Source organism: Homo sapiens, chromosome 7 (assembly GCF_000001405.40).
Source record: "Homo sapiens chromosome 7, GRCh38.p14 Primary Assembly".
NCBI lineage: Eukaryota > Metazoa > Chordata > Mammalia > Primates > Hominidae > Homo > Homo sapiens.
In genome coordinates, this window is record NC_000007.14 from 37,247,028 (window position 1) to 37,267,641 (window position 20,614).

Sequence of the window (20,614 nt, forward strand, 5' to 3'; positions counted from 1 at the left end):
TTATAACATCTGCCTAGTTTCATCATATCATATGAGTAAAATAAATTATTTTAACACATATTTGTATATCTGAAGTCAAAATGTAATATAGAGGGAAACCTCTAAATTAAACATTTTATTGGAGAATCATAGAATTGCAATTTGAAGCATACACATAGACTGGTAGACTTTGGTATGTCTGAGGAACAAAGGAAAGGTTGGGAGTTTTATTAGAAATAGGAATGTTACCTACGGTTTTGAAAGAAAGCTTATAGGCACTAGAATTTTTGAGAGCTGCTAAGCTCTGATTGGTGAGTGACAGTGGTAGGTAAAACCAGTCCTAAAGTCACAGCAGGTCATTTCAGCAGCTACTAGATTAAACTGGTCTTAGGGTTACACCAGGCCATCTTAGCAGCTGGACTTGCAGACAATTCGATTCTTGGAGCAGGTGCCATGTGCCCATGTGCTTTCTGCCTCAGCTCCTCAACTGTGACTTAGTTGAGTGTGACAAGAATTACCCAATTTGTATAATCAATTTTCACATCTGTATGAGAGTTATGATTTTACTTTTCCATGAAAATTACCTTTAACAAATTACCCTTTAACAAACCCAAATTACAGGGTATTCTATAAAATGGCTGACCTATAATTTAAAAACACCAAAGTCATGAAAGAAAAGGAGCGAGTGAAGAACAATTCCAGATCAGAGGGGACTAGGAGGAGACGGGCCACCTGGGTGCAAGGTGCCACCTGGAGCTAGATTCTTTCCATTAAAGGACAGAGCTGGGACAACAGGTGAAACTTAAATGGGGTCTCTGGGAAAAGAGCAAGAGGGGATTTTCTGCTCTGTTCTTGCAAGTTTTAAGTTTAAAATGGTTTTGAAATAAAATGTGTGTGTGTGTGTGTGTGTGTGTGTGTGTAATACATAAAGTAGTTGCTGTAAACTTTTAAAATAACTTTCTGGCCTGGGGCCTGAGCATGCTTATGGTTTTTATATGAGTTCCGCCTCCTCCAGCATCCCTGACCTTGGAGAGCTCTCCCTGACCAGAGCACAGACATAACTCAGTGCTGAGTCACAGTGCTTCTTACTCCTCAAATTTGCATCCTCACTTTGGCTTCAGATTATGCATAAGGAGAAGAGAAATTTTTGTTGCAACATCTGTCTATTGCCCTAAGTGGGATTTTATATGTGTGTGTGTGTGTGTGTGTGTCTCAATATACCTATTTTTTTAGAGAAACGTGACTAGAAGAGAAATTACTCTGGAAAGGTTGATGTTTCACAGTGGCCAGAAACCTCTCACCTCAGCCCAAGGAACGGCATTTTTTTTTTCGCCAACAGAAGATAATCTCTTCTTCAAATGGGCTGTGTGACCCTTTCTCATTTCCATTACCAGAGTGAAGGACAAAGACGCACAGAGAAAGCAAAAGGAGTGAGGAGGGGGCAGATCCTGTTTAGGGAATTTTCTGCCACACAATCTCTGACAAAGCCCAAGAAGGTTGGCCTCTTTGGCCTTTGTGATGCAAATTTCTGGGAGAGCCCTCAAGAGCTGTTCCAGCTGGAGCTCCCTGAGCAATGCAGAGTGCACTGCAGGCTCCAAGAAAACAGCAGAAAGCCTTGGGAAGATGTGGCAGCCATCACAGCTGGGGTTGACTGCAGAGACCACAGGAGCAGCTTCTTTCTGTCTGGGTCTGTGGCCTCTGAGGAGGTAAAGTGCAAAACGTGCATGGTGTCAGCTGGCCTTGGCTGCAAGGCAGCAAGTAGATGAATCGCTTTGGCCTGCACTGGACCTCCCAGAACAGCCAAGACTTCTAAGAGACACCAAGTTCTCAGAGGCAATAGCATAAGTTAGAGCTGATCATCTGTGTCCTTGGAGGTTAACAAAGTTTCAAAACAGAAATTCATCTTTTGTGTGAAGGCAAAATTCCGGAAAAGGTCACACATAATGGAAAACTGTCATATACATCTTTGTGTTATCCTCCATGCACCTCCTCTTACGTCTCACATGCCTAACCCAGTGTGAGGAGTATGGTTCAGCCCTCAGTAACGTACATTTCGCTGAATCAATAAAACATACAAATCCATCTCAAGTGTGGGTGCTAGGGAACATCAAAACAAAGTGTATAATTCAAGCTATACCTCAGTTTTCACAACATTCAGAAAATGAAAACACCTCTGGTTCAGGCAAGATGAAAAGAATTTGAATAACGAAAGGTTAATATGAGATGGAGGGAACCTGTTTCAAGACTGTTCTTGTATTAATGCAAAAATGATGACAATTTTTATATACATGTAATATACATACACACAGCACTAGACTTTTCCATCTGTGTCATATGTATGACAGAGTGGGGAGGAACTAATAATTTATACACTTAATGTTTCTTTTTAAGACAATTACCTAAGAACTTTACATATCACTAAAATAACTATGGGACTCCTTCCAATGTTCCTAATACAGCCAGATTTTGGAGAAATGACCTCAATGAAACAAATAAAACAGCACTTATAAATTCCCCAGATTAGTGAGAACTCCACAAATACCACTGCTATCTTTCTGAGGAAAACCAGAAAACCAGCCGAGTATTGACCAAGGTATTGGAAATAGACATACTCCTACAAGAATGGTAAAGTATAAATTAGAACATTTCTGCAAGCTATTGGGCTATTCTTATTTTAAAACAGCTTTAAAATGTATACATACTCTGAGTCAGGAATTTTATTCCAACAAAATAAATTAAATATCCACAAAAATTTTGCTAAAAGAAAAGCTGATTTAAAAATATTCAGAAAGCCAGGCCCGGTAGCTCACACCTATAATCCCAGCACTTTGGGAGGCCAAGGCAGGAGGATTACTTGAGACCAGGAGTTCAACACCAGCCTGGGAAACACAGAGAGACCTTCGTCTCTATAAAAAATATTTAAAAATTAGCCAGGTGTGGTGGCACCTGTAGTCCCTACCTACTCAGGAGGCTGAGGCAGGAGGACTGCTTAAGCCCTGGAGGTCAAGGCTGCAGTGAGCTATGATTGTGCCACTGCACTCCAGCCTAGGCAACAGAGCAAGACTCTGACTCAAAAAAAAGTAAGATAAAATAAAATAAAAGTTCAGAGAAAAACCCTAAAAACAATATAAATGTCCTACAATAGGGAAATAGTTCACTGTACTATGCACATTCTTCAAATTATTGTATATTAATTGTACATAATAAGCTATAAAGCTGCAAAAATGAAACAGTACGCATGCAACAAAAATGACAGGGGAGAATAATATTTAATCACATGGAAATATTGTTAGGTACAAAAAGCAGGTTATAAAAACATGAGTATTATAATTCTACTTTTATAAAGCCTGTGCATATGTGTGTATCTAAAAGAATATATAAAAAACGATATTCATCAAGATATTAAAAATAGTCGTCTGTGGAAAGGCACACTACAAATTATTCTTATTTTTTCCTTCTGCTTTTTTATATACTTTTCAAACGACAGATAATTTTTCATAAGAAAAGAAAGTTAATTTAAAAAAACTTTCCATCCAAGCACTTTGGGAGGCCGAGGCGGGTGGATCACGAGGTCAGGAGATCAAGACCATCCTGGCTAACATGGTGAAACCCTGTCTCTACTAAAAACACAAAAAATTAGCCGGGTGTGGTGGCAGGTGCCTGTAGTCCCAGCTACTCTGGAGGCTGAGGCAGGAGAATGGCATGAACCGGGGAGGCGGAGCTTGCAATGAGCCAAGATTGCGCCATTGCACTCCAGCCTGGGTGACAAAGCAAGACTCCGTCTCAAAAAAAAAAAAAAAAAAAACCAGAAACTTTCCAAGTTCATCATAAATACATGAATTTAACTTTTGTTCGCAGTTGACTTTCCTGCCCAGGGTGGTGTTACAGCTTACTCATATTCCAGCAGCGTAATTTTCCCATCACATTGCCAAGCGGGAAGGAAACTATAAGTACCCTGCCCTTTCATTCTTGGAAATGTTTCCCCTGTTTTTCTGCCCCTAGTGATGACTGACTAACAGTGGAAGGACACAGAAGTAGGCTTTCTCATTGTCTGTGTGCTTAGAGGCATGGACAAAGACTGTGGTGTTTTATTAAAACCCAAAGAAGAGCAGTATTTTTTATGACATTGGACTTAAGAGTTGTGGACACAATTTTCCTTCTTTCAAATAAAATAAAATATATCATTTCTGAGAAATGTTTTGATATCCATCTTTTTGATATTTGTTTCTGGAAACACTGTCCATTCCTCAATATTCCTTTTGTTGCTCAGGCTGGGGCAACATGTTTCCCCACAGCTGTATTTGCTTTCACTCCTATGTTTCAAGCAGAAATTAGGAATGAAATTTCAAAACTCCATTAAGGATAGAACAATTAAACTCAGGTTTTAAACACTGTGCTCATGCTCTGTCAAGATGACACTTCCTCACTGTTCCTCTGTTACTGACTTTGCTCCATGGCCCCACCCAGTACCAGCTGGAGAGAGACCTTTTAAAAGCCCAGCCTTGTTGTGACAAAATCTCTCACCATTTGCTTGCCTGCAAAGGATTTTATTTCTCCTTCACTTATGAAGATCTCAAAATAATAAGAGCTATTTATGACAAACCCACAGCCAATATCATACTGAATGAGCAAAAGCTGGAAGCATTCCCTTTGAAAACGGGCACAAGACAAGGATGCCCTCTCTCAGCACTCCTATTCAACATAGTATTGGAAGTTCAGGCCAGGGCAATCAGGCAAGAAAAAGAAATAAAGGGTATTCAAATAGGAAGACAGTAAGTCAAATTGTCTCTGTTTGCAGATGACATGATTGTATAATTAGAAAACCCCATCATCTCAGCCCAAAATCTCCCTAAGCTGATAAGCAACTTCAGCAAAGTCTCAGGATACAAAATCAATGTGCAAAAATCACAGGCATTCCTATACACCAATAATAGGCAAACAGAGAGCCAAATCATAAGTGAACTCCTATTCACAATTGCTACAAAGAGAATATAATACCTAGGAATAGAACTTAAAAGGGATGTGAAGGACCTCTTCAAGGAGAACTACAAACTACTGCTCAAGGAAATAAGAGAGGACACAAACAAATGAAAAAACATTCCATGCTCATGGATAGAAAGAATCAATATCATGAAAATGGCCATACTGCCCAAAGTAATTTATAGATTCTATTCTATCCCCATCAAGCTACCATTGACTTTCTTCACAGAATTAGAAAAAACTACTTCGAATTTCATATGGAACTAAAAAAGAGCCCATATAATCTAGACATTCCTAAGCAAAAAGAACAAAGCTGGAGGCATCACGCTACCTGACTTCAAACTATACTACAAGGCTACAGTAACCAGAACACCATAGTACTGGTACCAAAACAGATATATAGACCAATGGAACAGAACAAGACCTCAGAAATAATGCCACACATCTACAACCATCTGATCTTTGACAAACCTGATAAAAACAAGCAATGGGGAAAGGATTCCCTATTTAATAAATGGTGCTGGGAAAACTGGCTAGCCATATGCAGAAAACTAAAACTGTGCCACTTCCTTACACCTTATACACAAATTAACTCAAGATGGATTAAAGACTTAAACGTAAGACCTAAAACCATAAAAACCCTAGAAGAATACCTAGGAATACCATTCAGGACGCAGGTGTGGGCAAAGGCTTCATGACTAAAACCCCAAAAGCAACTGCAACAAAAGCCAAAATAGACAAATGGGGTCTAATTAAACTAAAGAGCTTCTGCACAGCAAAGGAAACTATCATCAGAGTGAACAGGCAACCTACAGAATGGGAGAAAAATTTTGCAATATAGCCATCTGACAAAGGGTTAATATCCAAAATCTACAAGGAACTTAAACAAATTTACAAGAAAAAAACAACCCTACCAAAAAGTGGGTGAAGCATATGAACAGACACTTCTCAAAAGAAGACATTTATGCGGCCAACAAACACATGAAAAAAAGCTCATCATCACTGGTCATTAGAGAAATGCAAATCAAAACCACAATGAGATACCATCTCATGCCAGTTAGAATGGTGATCATTAAAAAGTCAAGAAACAACAGATGCTGAAGAGGATGTGGAGAAATGGGAACGCTTTTACACTGTTGGTGAGAGTGTAAATTAATTCAACCATTGTGGAAGACAGTCTGGTGATTCCTCAAGGATCTAGAATCAGAAATAACATTTGACCCAGCAATCCCATTACTGGGTATATACACAAAGGATTATAAGTCATTCTACTGTAAAGACACATGCACACGTATGTTTATTGCAGCACTGTGCACAATAGCAAAGACTTGCAACCAACCCAAATGTCCATCAATGATAGACTGGATAAAGAAAATGTGGCACATATACACCATGGAATACTATGCAGCCATAAAAAAGGATGAGTTCATGTCCTTTGCAGGGACATGGATGAAGCTGGAAACCATCATTCTCAGCAAACTAACACAAGAGCGGAAAACCAAACACCGCATGTTCTCACTTGTAAGCGGGAGTTGAACAATGAGAACACATAGACACAGGGCGGGGAACATCACACACCAGGGCCTGTCAGAGGGTGAGAGGCTAGGGTAGGGATAACATTAGGAGAAATACCTAATGCAGATGACGGGTTTTGGGTTCAGCAAACCACCATGGCATGTGTATACCTATGTAGCAAACCTGCACGTTCTGCACATGTATCCAAGAACTTAAAGTAAAAAAAAAAAAAAAACAAAAAGCCCAGCCTTGGGTAATGAGGGGCGGGCAAGTCATCTCTGAATCTCATTATTCCTAAAAGTAAGGAGAAAAATTCCAGCAACATTTCTTCAATGTTTACGAAAATTTCCACAGGTCCTGCTTAGGAAACGACCACCTTCTCCAGCTGGAACATTGCCCAGGAGTCATGACTAAATGCCTTCCAAATTACAGGATCTATTTAATTTATGTGGTTTCTATCCCAAAGGTTTCCTGTTAATTAATTGAAGTCTTGCTCTAAGTTTAACAGAGAAGCCAGGATTTCTTATAGAAAAATGGCTTTCTCTTTCCTTTTTAATCTTAGCGAAAGATCTGAAAAATTTGCTGTTTATTAAATAAGCCACCTCTGAGCATGAGATGCAGGACCAGCAGAAGGAAGGCAGGAGGCCTTGCAACTCCAGTCCCTCCTTCCTCCATCCCCGAAAATAGCGTAACTTTGAATTTACATAAAACAGGAAGGGGGACACCAAAGATGACCCTGAGAGACATCATTCCTTCCCACGAACATAGTGTGATGGGAAAGTATAAGAGACAAATGCAAAAGAGAATTCACCCAACACCTGGCCTTAAGCTCTGTTTATCTGTCTGAAACCTGGCTGTATGTATCAAACTGGGACGGCTTACTGATTATTATAAATACAGTCATGTGTTGCTTAACAATGCGATACATGCTAAGAAATGCATCATTAGGTGATTCTGTTGTGTGAACATCGTAGAGTGTACTTACACAAACATACATGGTATAGCCTACAACACACCTAGGCTATGTGGCACAGCTTATTGCTTCTAGGCTACAAACCTGTACAGCATGTTACTAGGCTGAGTAGTGTACGCAATGGTAACACAATAGCAAATATTTGTGTATCTAAACAGAGAAGAGGTATAGTAAAACCATGGTATAAAATATAAAAAATGGCACAACTGTATAGGGCAGCTCCATCATAATCTCATGAGACCACCATTATATTTGTGGTCCATCACTGATCGAAATGTTCTTATGCAGTGCGTGACTGTAGTTAAGATATTAATGAGTGTGATACTCCTTTTTTTAAGAAAGGCATTCAGTTGCTTTAGCTCACATAAAGTACATTCAATATTGACATTCTCTCACATTGTATAATACGTGTGCAACATGGAGACAGAATTCAGACCTGCTGTCCCCCATCCTGGGTCTGAGGAATAGTGAATCTTTTGGACTGTTCTGCAGGTGGAGATGTGTCATAAAGTAAGGCCACAGCACTGAGAAAAAGTAAGAATGTTGACAAGGCACATACATAGCATCAGTTCTTACTCTTTTTCTTTTAAAGCAAAAATGATTGTGTCCCTTTTATAAGCATTACGGACTGAAGTGTGGCCCCTCATAATTCACATGTTTAAGCCCTAAACCCCAGTACCTCAGAATGGGACAGTATTTGGAGATAAGCCCTCTCAAGAGATGATTAATTTAAAATGAAGCCATTAGGTGTCCCTAATCCAATCTGACTCTTGTCCTTATAAGAAAAGGAGATTTGAAGACAAAAAGAAAAAACAGGGATGTGCACATGAGGACAGAGAGAGAAGGCAGCCATCCACTATCCAGAGCAACCTCAGCAGAAACCAACCCTGCCAACACCTTGATCATGGACTTGCAGCTTCCAGAACTCTGAGGAAAAATAAAGTTTCTGTTGTTTATGCCACTCAGTCTGTGGTATTTTGTTATGGCAGCCCTAGCAAAGTAAAGCAATGAGAAACTGAAAACAAAAGCTCCTAGCAGGCAGTTTCATTGTCGAAGTCTGTAACTGCCGGCCTCTGGAGGTGAGGGGCTCCACCACAGGCCCCTGTTCAGAATGCAGATCACATGCGCCCCTGCTTTGCTGTCTTTACCACGGTAAAGTAACCGTAATTACAATTGCAATTCTAATAATTTCAGAAGTATTTGCAAATATCATTCTGAATGTGCCAGAGCTCAAGCCCTGGATACCTAGGTACTTGTGGCAGAACCAACTCATATCAGCAGGTGACATTACAACTGGCTCTGATGCATTGTCCTTGACTTAGCTTAATCAATAAACAGGGGTAAACATTTTTACATTTTTATTTAACATGTTAGTGTTGCCGAGGCAGCCTCCCCCAGGCCCCACTCTCTCACCAGAAGCCGTGGGGGGTATGTAGTATAGGCTACCATGTCTGGCAGGTACATGAAGTAATCCAGTGATGAGTGAAGGTGTTTATAACAACTCGTCCTCCTCCTCTGCTCCCCAGAAACAGGCAATAGGATCCTGACACATTCCAGACCAGCTTCCAGCCTGGAGCTCCCCTCACAGACAGGACCCTCTGTATCCATTCCTTTGTCAAGCTCCTTGGATCCCTAAACTTTTTCAACTTCCCTCTCGCTGATTCAAGCTCCAGCTCCAGCTTACAGTAACCACACTGGATTCTGACAACATCCAGGGTTTACATTTCCCTGTACCACTCCACGTTGAGGTATGCCCAAACTTTCATAAGCAGAGGTTTCGTCATCCTTGAAAAAAATAAATGATACCTGTCTACAGTTGACCCTTTCCCGATCACCCAGGCCTGTTTGTCGGTCTTCTCTGACATGATGTTCTTCACATTCAGTTCTAGGGATTTTCTCTACTTGACTGCGAGTTAAGATCCCCAACTCCAAACTCTAAAGAATATCTTGTCTTTGAATGAGAAAAAAAATGTTTTCACTAGTACCAACTGCAGAGGCCAGATGATGCCAAGTGTAGGAGGGAGGGAGGATGGAGGGAGGAGAAGGAGGAAGGAAGGAAGGAAGGAAAGAAGGAAGAAAGGAAGGAAGGAAGGAAGGAAGGAAAGGAGGGAGGGAGGGAAAAGGGGAGGGAAAAGGGGAGGGGAGGGCAGAGGGGAAGGGAGGGGAGGGGAGAGGAGGACAAAGGGAAGGGAGGGAGAGAAGGGAGAAGGAGGGAAGGAAGAAAGGAAGGAAGAAAGGGAGAGGGGCAGGGGGAAGGGAAGGGAAGGGAAGGGAAGGGAAGGGAAGGGAGAAGGGAGGAGGAAGGGAAGGGAGAAGGGAGGGAGGGAAAGGAGAGGAAGGGGACAGAAGGGGAGGGGCCCAGAAAGATCTCTAACTTGCAGAGTTATCAATTCATTCTTTGTATTACTAGGTACCCTTTAAACAACCCAGTTTTAAACCTCCATTCTCAATGATACTTACTCTTTCATAATAAATGCCTATCCTGACACTGTACTTTATTAGCTTAGCATATTCATATGCAATTAATTGATTCAGCAATTTCACATGCTTTAAATTGTATGCTCTACTAGTCTCTGCCAATAGCACCTGACCACATGGCAGGGGCAGCCTCCTGCTCATCCTAGCAGGCATTCAGCATTCAGTGGTTAAAGGAGTTGTCTCTCCACCAACATAAGAGCTGGCCCCGCCTGGCTCCTGACGCTCCACAGTCACACCAGAGAGCAAGCTCCCCGGCAGGAAGGGACATTCCTTCCTCCCTCATGATGGAACTCCAACTCCCTCAAGGACAGTTCACACTCATCTCCTCTGTGAGGCTGAGATTTAATGGGTTCCAGCCAGGCATGGTGGCTCATGCCTGTAATCCCAGCACTTTGGGAGGCAGAGGCAGGTGGATCACTTGAGGTCAGGAGTTTGAGACTGGCCTGGCCAACGTGGTGAAACCCCGTCTCTACTAAAAATACAAAAATTAGGCCAGGCACGGTGGCTCACGCCTGTAATCCCAACACTTTGGGAAGCCGAAATGGGCAGATCACGAGGTCAAGAGATCGAGACCATCCTGGCTGACATGGTGAAACCCTGTCTCTACTAAAAATACAAAAATTAGCTGGGTGTGGTGTCACACGCCTGTAGTCCCAAGTCCCAGCACTTCTGGGAGGCAGAGGCAGGTGGACCACTTCAGGTCAGGAGTTCAAGACCAGCCTGGCCAACGTGGTGAAACCCCATCTCTACTAAAAATACAAAAATCAGGCTGGACACGGTGGCTCACACCTGTAATCCCAATATCTTGGGAGACCGAGGTGGGCGGATCACGAGGTCAAGAGATCGAGACCATCTGGCTGACATGGTGAAACCCTGTCTCTACTAAAAACACAAAAATTAGCTGCATGTGGTGTCACACGCCTGTAGTCCCAGCACTTTGGGAGGCAGAGGCAGGCAGATCATTTGAGGTTAGGAGTTCGAGACCAGCCTGGCCAACGTGGTAAAACCCCATCTCTACTAAAAATACAAAAATTAGGCCGGGCGTGGTGACTCACGCCTGTAATCCCAACACCTTGGGAGGCCAAGGCAGGCAGATCACGAGGTCAAGAGATCGAGACCATCCTGGCTGACATGGTGAAACCCCATCTCTACTAAAAATACAAAAATTAGCTAGGTGTGGTGGCATACGCTTGTAGTCCTAGCTACTCGGGAGCCTGAGGAAGGAGAATTGCTTGAACCCAGGAGGCAGAGCTTGCAGTGAACCGAGATCGTCCCACTACACTCCAGCCTGGCGACAGAGTGAGACTCCATCTACCAAAAACAAAAAACAAAAAAAAAACTAGCTGGGTGTGGTGGCACATGCCTGAAATCCCAGCTACTCAGGAGGCTGAGGTGGGAGGATCACTTGAACCCAGGAGGTGGAGGTTGCAGTGAACAGCGATTGCACCACTGCACTCCAGCCTAAGCAACAAAGACTCCATCTCAAATAAAAAAAAATAAGAGAGAGAGAGAGAGATAATGGGTCCGCCCTCTAGATTCCTGGCTCTCAGGAGGAATTACACGCAATAGAATTCTGCCCATATGATAGTCTCCATCAATTTCTGGAAGGCAAGCTCGTAAGAAAAAATTTTCCTTTGTTCAACTCTTTTGCATGCACTGAGTAGGTAGTTAATACATGTTGACTGCATTTAATTTCAAGTAATTAATGACAAGTATTTAATCATTCAAGTGTTAAGTTTTAAAATTACTTCAGGGATTATATCTTGACCTGGTTTTATACTTTGAAACATAACTTGAACTAGCTTGAGCTGTCAATGAAAAAAGAAACATAATTAGGTAATCTAATTTTTTAATGGATTAAGGGAGGGAAAATTTTTCTTAGGGATAGGCAACGAATATGAGGGACTATTGTTTTGTCGAGTTATACTTTCATTGTTGCCAAGGCCCTCTGAGATAATGGCATGATATTTTCCCACATAAACCTGAAATTTCTAGCACTTGATGGATTTCTATTTTGTCTCAGATACTAGATGGTGGTGGGCAAAGGATGGAGAACTCTTGAAATTACAAACCCACTGCCTCGCCACTATCTTAAAAACTATTTTTTTCCTGAGTCTAACCAAGGCTCTGGTCTTTAAAACAGAGTTTGCAAGTGTAAGGCATGTAACAATATTCAAAACGCGGAGACACGCAGGACAGCTGTGGAAGTTAGGAAAAAAGACGCTTACTCAGTGCCGCTCTCCACCATCTGCGTGAGGAGAGAGATACCGTCCAGGTTTATAAACTCCTGGGCAAACGTGACATCCCGGGAGAGGCTGGCCAAGTCCTTCAGGGCTTCCAGCTTGGCATCCATACTCGAGGACTGGATTCGTTCATGGAGCTGCTGGGCGTTCTGAGCCTTATGGGGCAAAAGCAAAGGGAAGAGTGTTGACAAACGAAACCACAACAGCAAAACAGATTTATGTTTCAATGAGGAACAGAGATACAAAAGCCAAAAGCGCAAGACTATCTGCATATTACAGAGTGGGCATCTCAACGACAGGCTTCAAGGCTTCCAACCCAAACACTCCACCTTCAGAGCGAGGTCTGCTCATGTCACAACAGGAAGCAGTTGCATTCTTCTCAAAGGAGTTGGATTTCCATTTCGAGGAAAAGCAAGAGCAAGAGTACAAGAATATTAAAGCCCTAGAAACTGAACAGGATGCGGCAGAAAGGAGGGAGGAAAGGGGAAGTATTTACCCTTTAAGTAAAATTATTATGTAAAAGCAACTGAAAGCTATTTGCTTAGTTAAGCAATTACACAAATTTATACAGCACGCTCACCCGTTCAGTCAATACTCTGAGTAATAACTGCCTACACATGTTCGGGAGCTTCATTAGCCACCCAAATGATCTTTCTAGGTTACTGCAAATCTTCCAGCACTCCACAACGATGCTTGTAAATTTCAATTTTCAACAACATGTTGTTTCACATGCATTGGCTACTTGTGTGAATGTAAAACTAAATAATTAGGAAACCAAATTAACAGCTATGCCTAGAATTACTTTTAAGGCATTTGCACTTGGCTTCTACATGCAGGACAGAGAGGAATCGAAATATATTAGAGAAGCTGAACTTCTGGGTAATAATTTGTAGTCCAGATGTTTTATTCATCAAGTCAAGGTTTTCATATCTACCTTTCACTTGAGGCAGGCAGTAAGAAAAACAAAGGAATAAAATGTTCTGCCTGTGTTTTTGCTTAATACAGATAACCAAGTTAACTCAAAATCACTGTGGTTGAAGCACTCTGCTATCATCATATTCTCCTTCTCGGGTACTTGCTTTCTCTTTTGAAACCGTGTTATATTTTAGAGAGGGAGAAGATAGGGTGTCGACCCCATTAATGAGGTATCTCTCCTCAACAGACAACTGGTTACAACTCTCTCAGGAACCCCCTGTGAACTATCACAGGGTTAAGGTTGCAGAGTGGAGGCAGGAGAACCACCTAGGTATCGAAGGCAAAACCAGTGCTGGCCACAGACTCTGCCTGGAATAGGGGAGGGAATCCATGCAGGTCCTAAGAGCAGAAAGACTCCACCCCAGCAGGTCCACAGCCACAGAGCCCTCCCTCCCTGCCCAGTTCTCCCTCCACTGTCACCTGGAAGCAGCCCTCAAGAAGAGAAAAGGATTCAACAGGGGAACTGATGCAATTCTTTAGGACCCGAGACAGGGATAGAACCCATGCCCCGATCACTTGGTCACAGATGTGGCAGGTCTCCCATTTAATTAAAACCAAAAACAGACACGTTGCATCAGAAATTAGAAAAGAAGGAAAAGAGCAGGGAGGAAAACGAGAGCCCTCCCTACTTATCTATTCACTGATCTACAGATAACCCACACATCACTCAAATATTAAAAGGGAGAGTGGAGAGCTGGGTGAGAATTATTTATCTCTTAAAATTGTTCAGGGATATAGTACTTTCCAAAATTTTCAAATGGATATACAGCATTCACATGAACATTTAATAGTTAACCCAAGCAAATCATTTCAAATTCCTTGAAAAGTGTATTTTTTCTCCAAGAAGGATGTTTGCATTTACTATATAGGTTATGACAATAATGAGTACCCAAAAATTATTTCATTGTCATTATTAATGCTAATAGTGTTTGATGCAGTTGATACCAATATAAAAAATAGCCAAGTTTCCTAGCACTTTTTATAAGCCACTATTCTAAATACCTCATAAAGTAATTCATTTAATCTCCACAATAGTCCCAACAGGTAGGTCCTATCATAGGCTTTATTTGACAAAGGAAATTGAAGTTCAGGGAAGTTAGGTAACTTGCCCAAGGTCACACAGCTTATCAGTGCTGAGGCTAAAATAGAAACTGGGCAGCTGGACTCCAGAAAACACATTGTAAACAGTGGATCTCAAATTGTTGCCTGTGTAAGAATCACCTGGATGACTTCTTAATACACAGACCAAGGGCCACCCCTAGAGTTTCTGGTTCTAAAGGTCTGGGGTGGGGTCCCAAAAGTTTTGTGTTTAACAAGCCCCTAAGTGTTGCTGCTGCTGGCCTGGGAATCACACGCTGAGGACCACCACTCTAAATCACTCAGGATGCTGCATCTCTCCGTGATGATAGAATGAGCAGCTCTGATTGTGTTTTTCTTTCTTTCTTTTTTTTTTAGGGAGTCTTGCTCTGTCACCCAGGCTGGAGTGCAGTGGCACAATCTCGACTCACTGCAACCTCCGCCTCCCAGATTCAAGCGATTCTCCTGTCTCAGCGTCCCAAGTAGCTGGAATTACAAGTTCTTGCACCATGCCTGGCTAATTTTTCAATTTTTAGTAGACACAGGGTTTCACCATGTTGGCCAGGCTGGTCTTGAATTCCTGACCTCAGGTGATCAGCCTGCCTCGGCCTCCCAAAGTGCTGGGATTACAGGCGTGAGCCACCACGCCCAGCTGATTGTGTTTTTCAACTACCACCTGATCTTCCCCAGCTGTAACACAAGGAGGCCCTCCTGGTTTACAGTACCTAAAGAAAATGTGCTTGCCCTTTTAAAAGCTGTGCACCTTTAAGGAAGAACCTTTGCTAAGAAAACAAAGAAAAAGTCAATAATGTGGAAGCTAAGTAGATGGAATTTATTATACCTACTCTTATTAATATATACTTTATTATATCTATTCTTCCTAATTCATTTACATGCCTTCATACTTACCTACTTAAAAGTAAATAAATAAATTTTAAAATAAAAGAAGTGAGGAGAGAAACAACAGAAACCTGAAAAGGACAAATGTCCCAAGCAGAGGAATCAAGACTGTGGAGTCCTCCCAAATCCCACAACTGCTCATGGGTTGCTGCTATAGAAATTGAAAATATTTTACCAAGATGGTCACATGTAAGAATAGCAAAGCAATATCCTAACTTGCTGGGATCTTAGCCAAGGAGTCACTCCCAGTAATAGCAGTAAAGCCTTCTCCAAATTGTCAAACTACAAAAAAGCTCATAGACTCAATGGCCTGGAAAGTTCCTACAGAACTATTCACCCCTCTCCTTCACTCACCCCAGCGCCTGAGAATGATGTGTTCTGTTGGCATGAGGCTGTTCTTAACTATCCCCACAGGCCTTGCTCCTTCCCTTGGTACCCGTATCTAAGGAGACAACTTTTCTTTAAAAAGTGCAGTTCCCACAGTGTTTGCTTTAGGGTAAATTTCCCTCTTCATCCTAGGACATAGGTGAACAACTGGAGGAGACACATCACTAAAGAGGAGGGGAGGACTGTGGCAAGCCAGGTGGCGAGGGGACCATGATGGAAACCTCCATGACCCAGGAGTCCAAGGCAGGGCTACTTACATCTCTGCCATTGGCTACCTCCAGGGCTGCAGTGAACTTCTCTCTTCACCTCTCTTGGCCTCATTTTCCCCATCAGTAGGTACACCAAGGAACTGTGATGAGATCATGTTTAAGGTTCCCTTCCACCCACAGTGTGACAGAGTGCATCTCAGCTGGGCAGTAACCCTCATCATGGAGTCCGCCAGGAAAAGGTGCTCCACAGAGGTGAGTCCCAGAAGTGACCTCCAATCAAAATATTATGTCAAACTGGTGGGACCCTTTTAATGCAATATTTTTCCAATTGGATCCAGAACAGGCAGGGATATACCTTCTTTTTATCTTCTCTAATTTCTAAATAATCTGGAAATACAACATTTATTATATAAAAAAAGTGGGAATCAAAGTTTTTATTCTGAAAAGATTGGAGTTTTGTAAGGAAATTTTGTTCTCAGATATCAGTTATTGCAGATCACTCTTTATATAATTTTATATATTTTATATATATAAATATATGTATTCTCAGACAAGTCTTTCCAGTTATCCAGTGGAAAGGAATGTTCCTTCAAAATCCTCAGCATCCTCATTCACTGATTCAACAAATACTTCTGAAAAGCTTGACATTTGTTCCGCACATTTGGGATACAGCAACAAATAAGACAGCTACGGTTCTCAACCTCCTGGGGCTCACCCACCTTGGTGTGGCAGGTGGACAACTTTTAAAATTAGCAATAAAAAATCAAATATTGATGTTTCATAGCAAAACCTAAAGTGGAGGGTTTGTGTTAGAGAGTGACTGATGGCTTCTTTAGATGGAGTGGTTTTCAGGGACAAGCAACCTAAGGAAGTGACATTCAAGGAGAGATCTGACTGACAAGAAGGACCCCACCACATTGGGGAGTGGAATATTCTGGGCAGCATCAATGGTTAGTGCCAAAGCCCTGATTCAGGTGGAACAAGCCTGGCCTGTCTGGAGGGAGAGAAAGGAGAGGACTGATGTGTCTGGGGTCTGCAGGCCAGGGGGTGTGGAGGGAAGTGAGGATGTGGAAGCAGTAGACAAGGTAGCCTAGGGTGTTCATGAGCATGCAGAGCTGAAGGAGTCCCTGGTGGTGATGTGCTTCCCTGAATGGATGCATGTAAATATCGGAGATGGATGTGTGGTACATTTGGAGCCCTTAAAACAGCATTCATAGCCAAACATTGAGCAACCATCGTGTTTACCAATAGGACAATGGTGAAATAGTCATGACATAGTCATAGGATGAAATATCATATAGAACTACATATGGAACTTTTAGAGAATGTAAAATAGTGTGAGAACATCCTCACGAGGCAATATTAAGAGAAACAGCCAAGACGCAAACATATTTTATTGTTTATGGGAGGTGGGAATATGCGCAGTGGAGTGTGTGTATCTGCCAGAATGTAATGTCACCCAGCACACAGAAGTGTGTCTGGCATTTACCATGAGTTCAAAACACATTTCACTAAATGAATGTACAAATGAATACACATATATATATGAATGCATAAATGAATATATATATGAACCTATAAATGAATATATATACATTCATGTATGCACACATATGTATTCACACATTTGCATACAAATGGTCAAAGAAGGCAAGTAGATGTGACCTGTGGTTATTTATGAATTGTAATATTCTAAACAATTTTCTTTGCAGGAAGCCTTATTTTTTGCATTTTCCATAATGAATTTGCACCATTTTTATATTTGGGAGGAAAGAGTCAACATTATTAAAAAAATAAGATAGCCTTGGTTCTGATTTTTCAAGCAACCAGCACACATGAAAAGAATCTAATAGTCATGTAGGTCTCTGTATCAGACAGCAAGTTATATTTTCTGGTATTGCTCTAAGGATAGAAAAAAGTTTTACTTTGGGCCATTGAAACAGCTTGATGTGGCTACCTCATGTCCCAGATAGGAAAGGGTTCTGGACCCAGACTCCAGACTCCAAGGGAGGAAACAGCTCATAAAGGATTAGCCGTGGGCACAGGAAAGGGTACTGGTAGTGTGTGTGTGTCAAGCATTTAACATTTCTCTCTCTTGAAGATACAAGTTAAAATCATCCCCAAGAAACTTCTAGCATAACTCTGGATCCATGATGCCAATTAAAAAGTAGTCTAAAAACATCCTTAGTTTCAACAGTTTAATAGATATCTTCAAATGTACGCTCAATGTTGCCCAGCAATCCAATATTTTCCTGGAATGTTTGCTGTGTCCCTTCAGAATGACTCCTCCATACCTTTTCTACTCTCCTTAAACCCCCTCTATGCCTTTCTGCTGCCTCCCCTCCACTGGTGATCATTTAATTGAGGAAATCAAAGCAATCAGCCAGGAGTTCCTTCATCTTCCTACTTCTAACAGCACCAGCTGCTGGCATCTCTACCCTCAAGCTCTGCTTCCTCCTGATAGATGCTGTGTGGCGGGGACCCTGTTTCCTATCAGAAGTCAGCTCTTCCCCTCAGCTCTGGATCTCCTCTCCCCTGGCCTTCTCAAGTATTTTACTTCAAATTTATCTCCCTTTCTTCTGTATCATCAATTCTCTCTCTGTAGTAGAACATTTCCAGCTGCAAAAATCTCTAATATCTCCCATCTTTAAAAAAAATAAACAGAAAGGTAAAAACATCCATTGACCCAGTTTCCCTACAGCTACTTCCTCATTTCTCTGCTTGCATTTTCAGCAAAAGTTTTGGAAGAGAGAGTAGCTCGAAAGTGTTGCCTCCGTTCTACCTCCTATTCTCCCCGCTCTCATGAGGCGTCCCTGTCCAGCCCTGCATGGAGAGTGTCTCCACCATGCTATTAATACCTCCAGGTGGCAGCCCAGGGACCACCCTCATCGCATCATCTTTATTACCTGGACAGCCTCCAACACACCTAAGTACTACTCCCTCCTCCTTGAAACACTTTGCTCACCTGGCTTCTTGCTAGGCTCCTCCTCTAAACCTTAAGAGTGTCCCCAGGGGTCTGTGCTGAGCCCTCTCCTCTACTTTCCCCATGGTGACCTCTTCCAGCCCACAGCTTTAAATGCCATTTCCATGGGGGTGGCTGGCACACCTGCATCTGTCCAGGCTTCCTAGTTAACAGCACGCAGTTAATTTTGCCAGAGCACCGGGAGGAACAGGACATCCTTCCTCAAAGAGCACCACATGCTGAAGTTCTGGGGCTTGCCCTCCACGACACTCCTTCCAACTCTCCAATTCCCTACAAGGCAGGTAGCCCAAGCCCCCTGCATCTCCTGAACCTGCAAGAAACTCTGACCCGGTGCCCTGGCCGCCCCTGCAATCTGTCCTTGGGCAGCAGCCTGGGGATCCTGTGTCGCCTCTGCCTGCCAGCCTCCACTGGCTTCTTCTCCCATAAGCTAGGCCGCTGAGAGTGATGCCAATAAATAGAATTTAAGGCATGTTACAACCCTTTATTAGTTTCTCAAACCAGGAGAGAAAAATTGAAAACCTGAATTGAAAAATGGAATTAAAAAAAAAAATTAATGGGCTTATTGTTAAGAATCTCCGATAACCTGAATCCACACAATGACTGAGATAATACTATTTTTCTTATTGCCAGAGGGAATAAGACCCAAAAATCATGATGACAGGCCCTCTGACCTAAATAATGCTGATACCGGCTCCCTAAACCAGAAAGAGTAGAAAGCAAGGATTATGCTTACAGCTGACAAAGCAACAGTAGGGACTTGATGAGCAGTTCTGCTTTCTATAATACATCCACACAGGCCAAAAGAAGGCATAATGGTCAATAATTCAGTTCGCTTATAATAGGGTTCACAAAAAAATCTCATAGTTTGCAATCTTGACATGTTTTTAGCATAGGGCATTATGATTCACCTCTTTTGTACTATAATGGCTTTGTAATATATATTTGTGTATTTCTTTAATTAAAAATAATACCAGCACATGAGATAGGTAGAAATACATGAGTACAGCCAGGCATGGTGGCTCACACCTGTAATCCCAGCACTTTGGGAGGTTGAGGCGAGCAGATAACTTGAGGTCAAGAATTCGAGACCAGCCTTGCCAACATGGGGAAACCCCATCTCTACTAAAAATACAAAAATTAGCCGGGCATGATGGCGTACGCCTGTAGTCCCAGCTACTCGGGAGGCTGAGGCAGGAGAATCACTTGAACCCAGGAGGCGGAGATTTTAGTGAGCTGAAATTGTGCCACTATACTCCAGCCTGGGCGACAGAGCAAGACTCCATCTAAAAAAAAAAAAAAAATATGTATATATACACACACACACACACACACACACACACACACACACACACACACACACACGAGTACTACTGGAAGTTACCAAATAAAAAAATAAAGTTAGCCCAAAGGTAACAGTTTCTTGTGGGTATCCCTTGAGAAACATTTTATCCTTTTATCTGAATATACATACACTTCCCTTCCACATACATAACAGGCATCCCTCTATACAGGATGTTCTGCAACCTGCTTTTGTGTTAATGGCATACTTTAGGGATACCTCCTCGGCAGCACGTATCACATTCTTACTAACAACTGCACAGTATTCTACAACATAAAAATTACCTACTGCACTTACCTAGTCCAACTGATAGATACATAACAGGTTCCTAGTTTTTGATCACTAAAAACAATGATGCATATAGCCATGCTTGGGCGCGCGCACGCGTGTGTGTGTGTGTTCATCCTGCAGTGCTTTTGTGAGTCTATTTATTATATAAATTCCCAGCAGCAGTACTGTTAAGACAAAGGTATATGTATTTTAAACTTAGGTGAATACCACTAGATTGCCCCCGAAGAGGGCATACAAATAGATTCTACTTCAAATTTTCAAAATCCTGACCCCACAGCATCTTTT

At 42.0% G+C, this 20,614-nt stretch overlaps 1 protein-coding gene across 14 annotated transcripts in view, besides 2 other annotated features; it reads right to left on the bottom strand.

The window, feature by feature from the left end:
• The window catches only part of ELMO1 (engulfment and cell motility 1), a 596,421-nt gene that overhangs the window by 394,122 nt on the left and 181,685 nt on the right, over positions 1–20,614 (bottom strand). For all 14 annotated transcript variants that reach the window (NM_001206480.2, XM_011515654.3, NM_014800.11 and 11 more), the window contains one exon: positions 12,154–12,323. In NM_001206480.2, the coding sequence (NP_001193409.1) occupies positions 12,154–12,323 (170 nt within the window). The remainder of the gene's footprint in view (positions 1–12,153; positions 12,324–20,614) is intronic.
• Positions 1,120–1,740: an enhancer, noted in NCBI's record as "OCT4-NANOG-H3K27ac hESC enhancer chr7:37287752-37288372 (GRCh37/hg19 assembly coordinates)". NCBI's record gives its function as "activates a minimal SCP1, AML or CMV promoter by ChIP-STARR-seq in primed H9 embryonic stem cells {active_cell/tissue: H9 hESC(primed)}" and the evidence as "EXISTENCE:reporter gene assay evidence [ECO:0000049][PMID:30033119]".
• Positions 1,741–2,360: an enhancer, noted in NCBI's record as "OCT4-NANOG-H3K27ac hESC enhancer chr7:37288373-37288992 (GRCh37/hg19 assembly coordinates)". NCBI's record gives its function as "activates a minimal SCP1, AML or CMV promoter by ChIP-STARR-seq in naive H9 embryonic stem cells {active_cell/tissue: H9 hESC(naive)}" and the evidence as "EXISTENCE:reporter gene assay evidence [ECO:0000049][PMID:30033119]".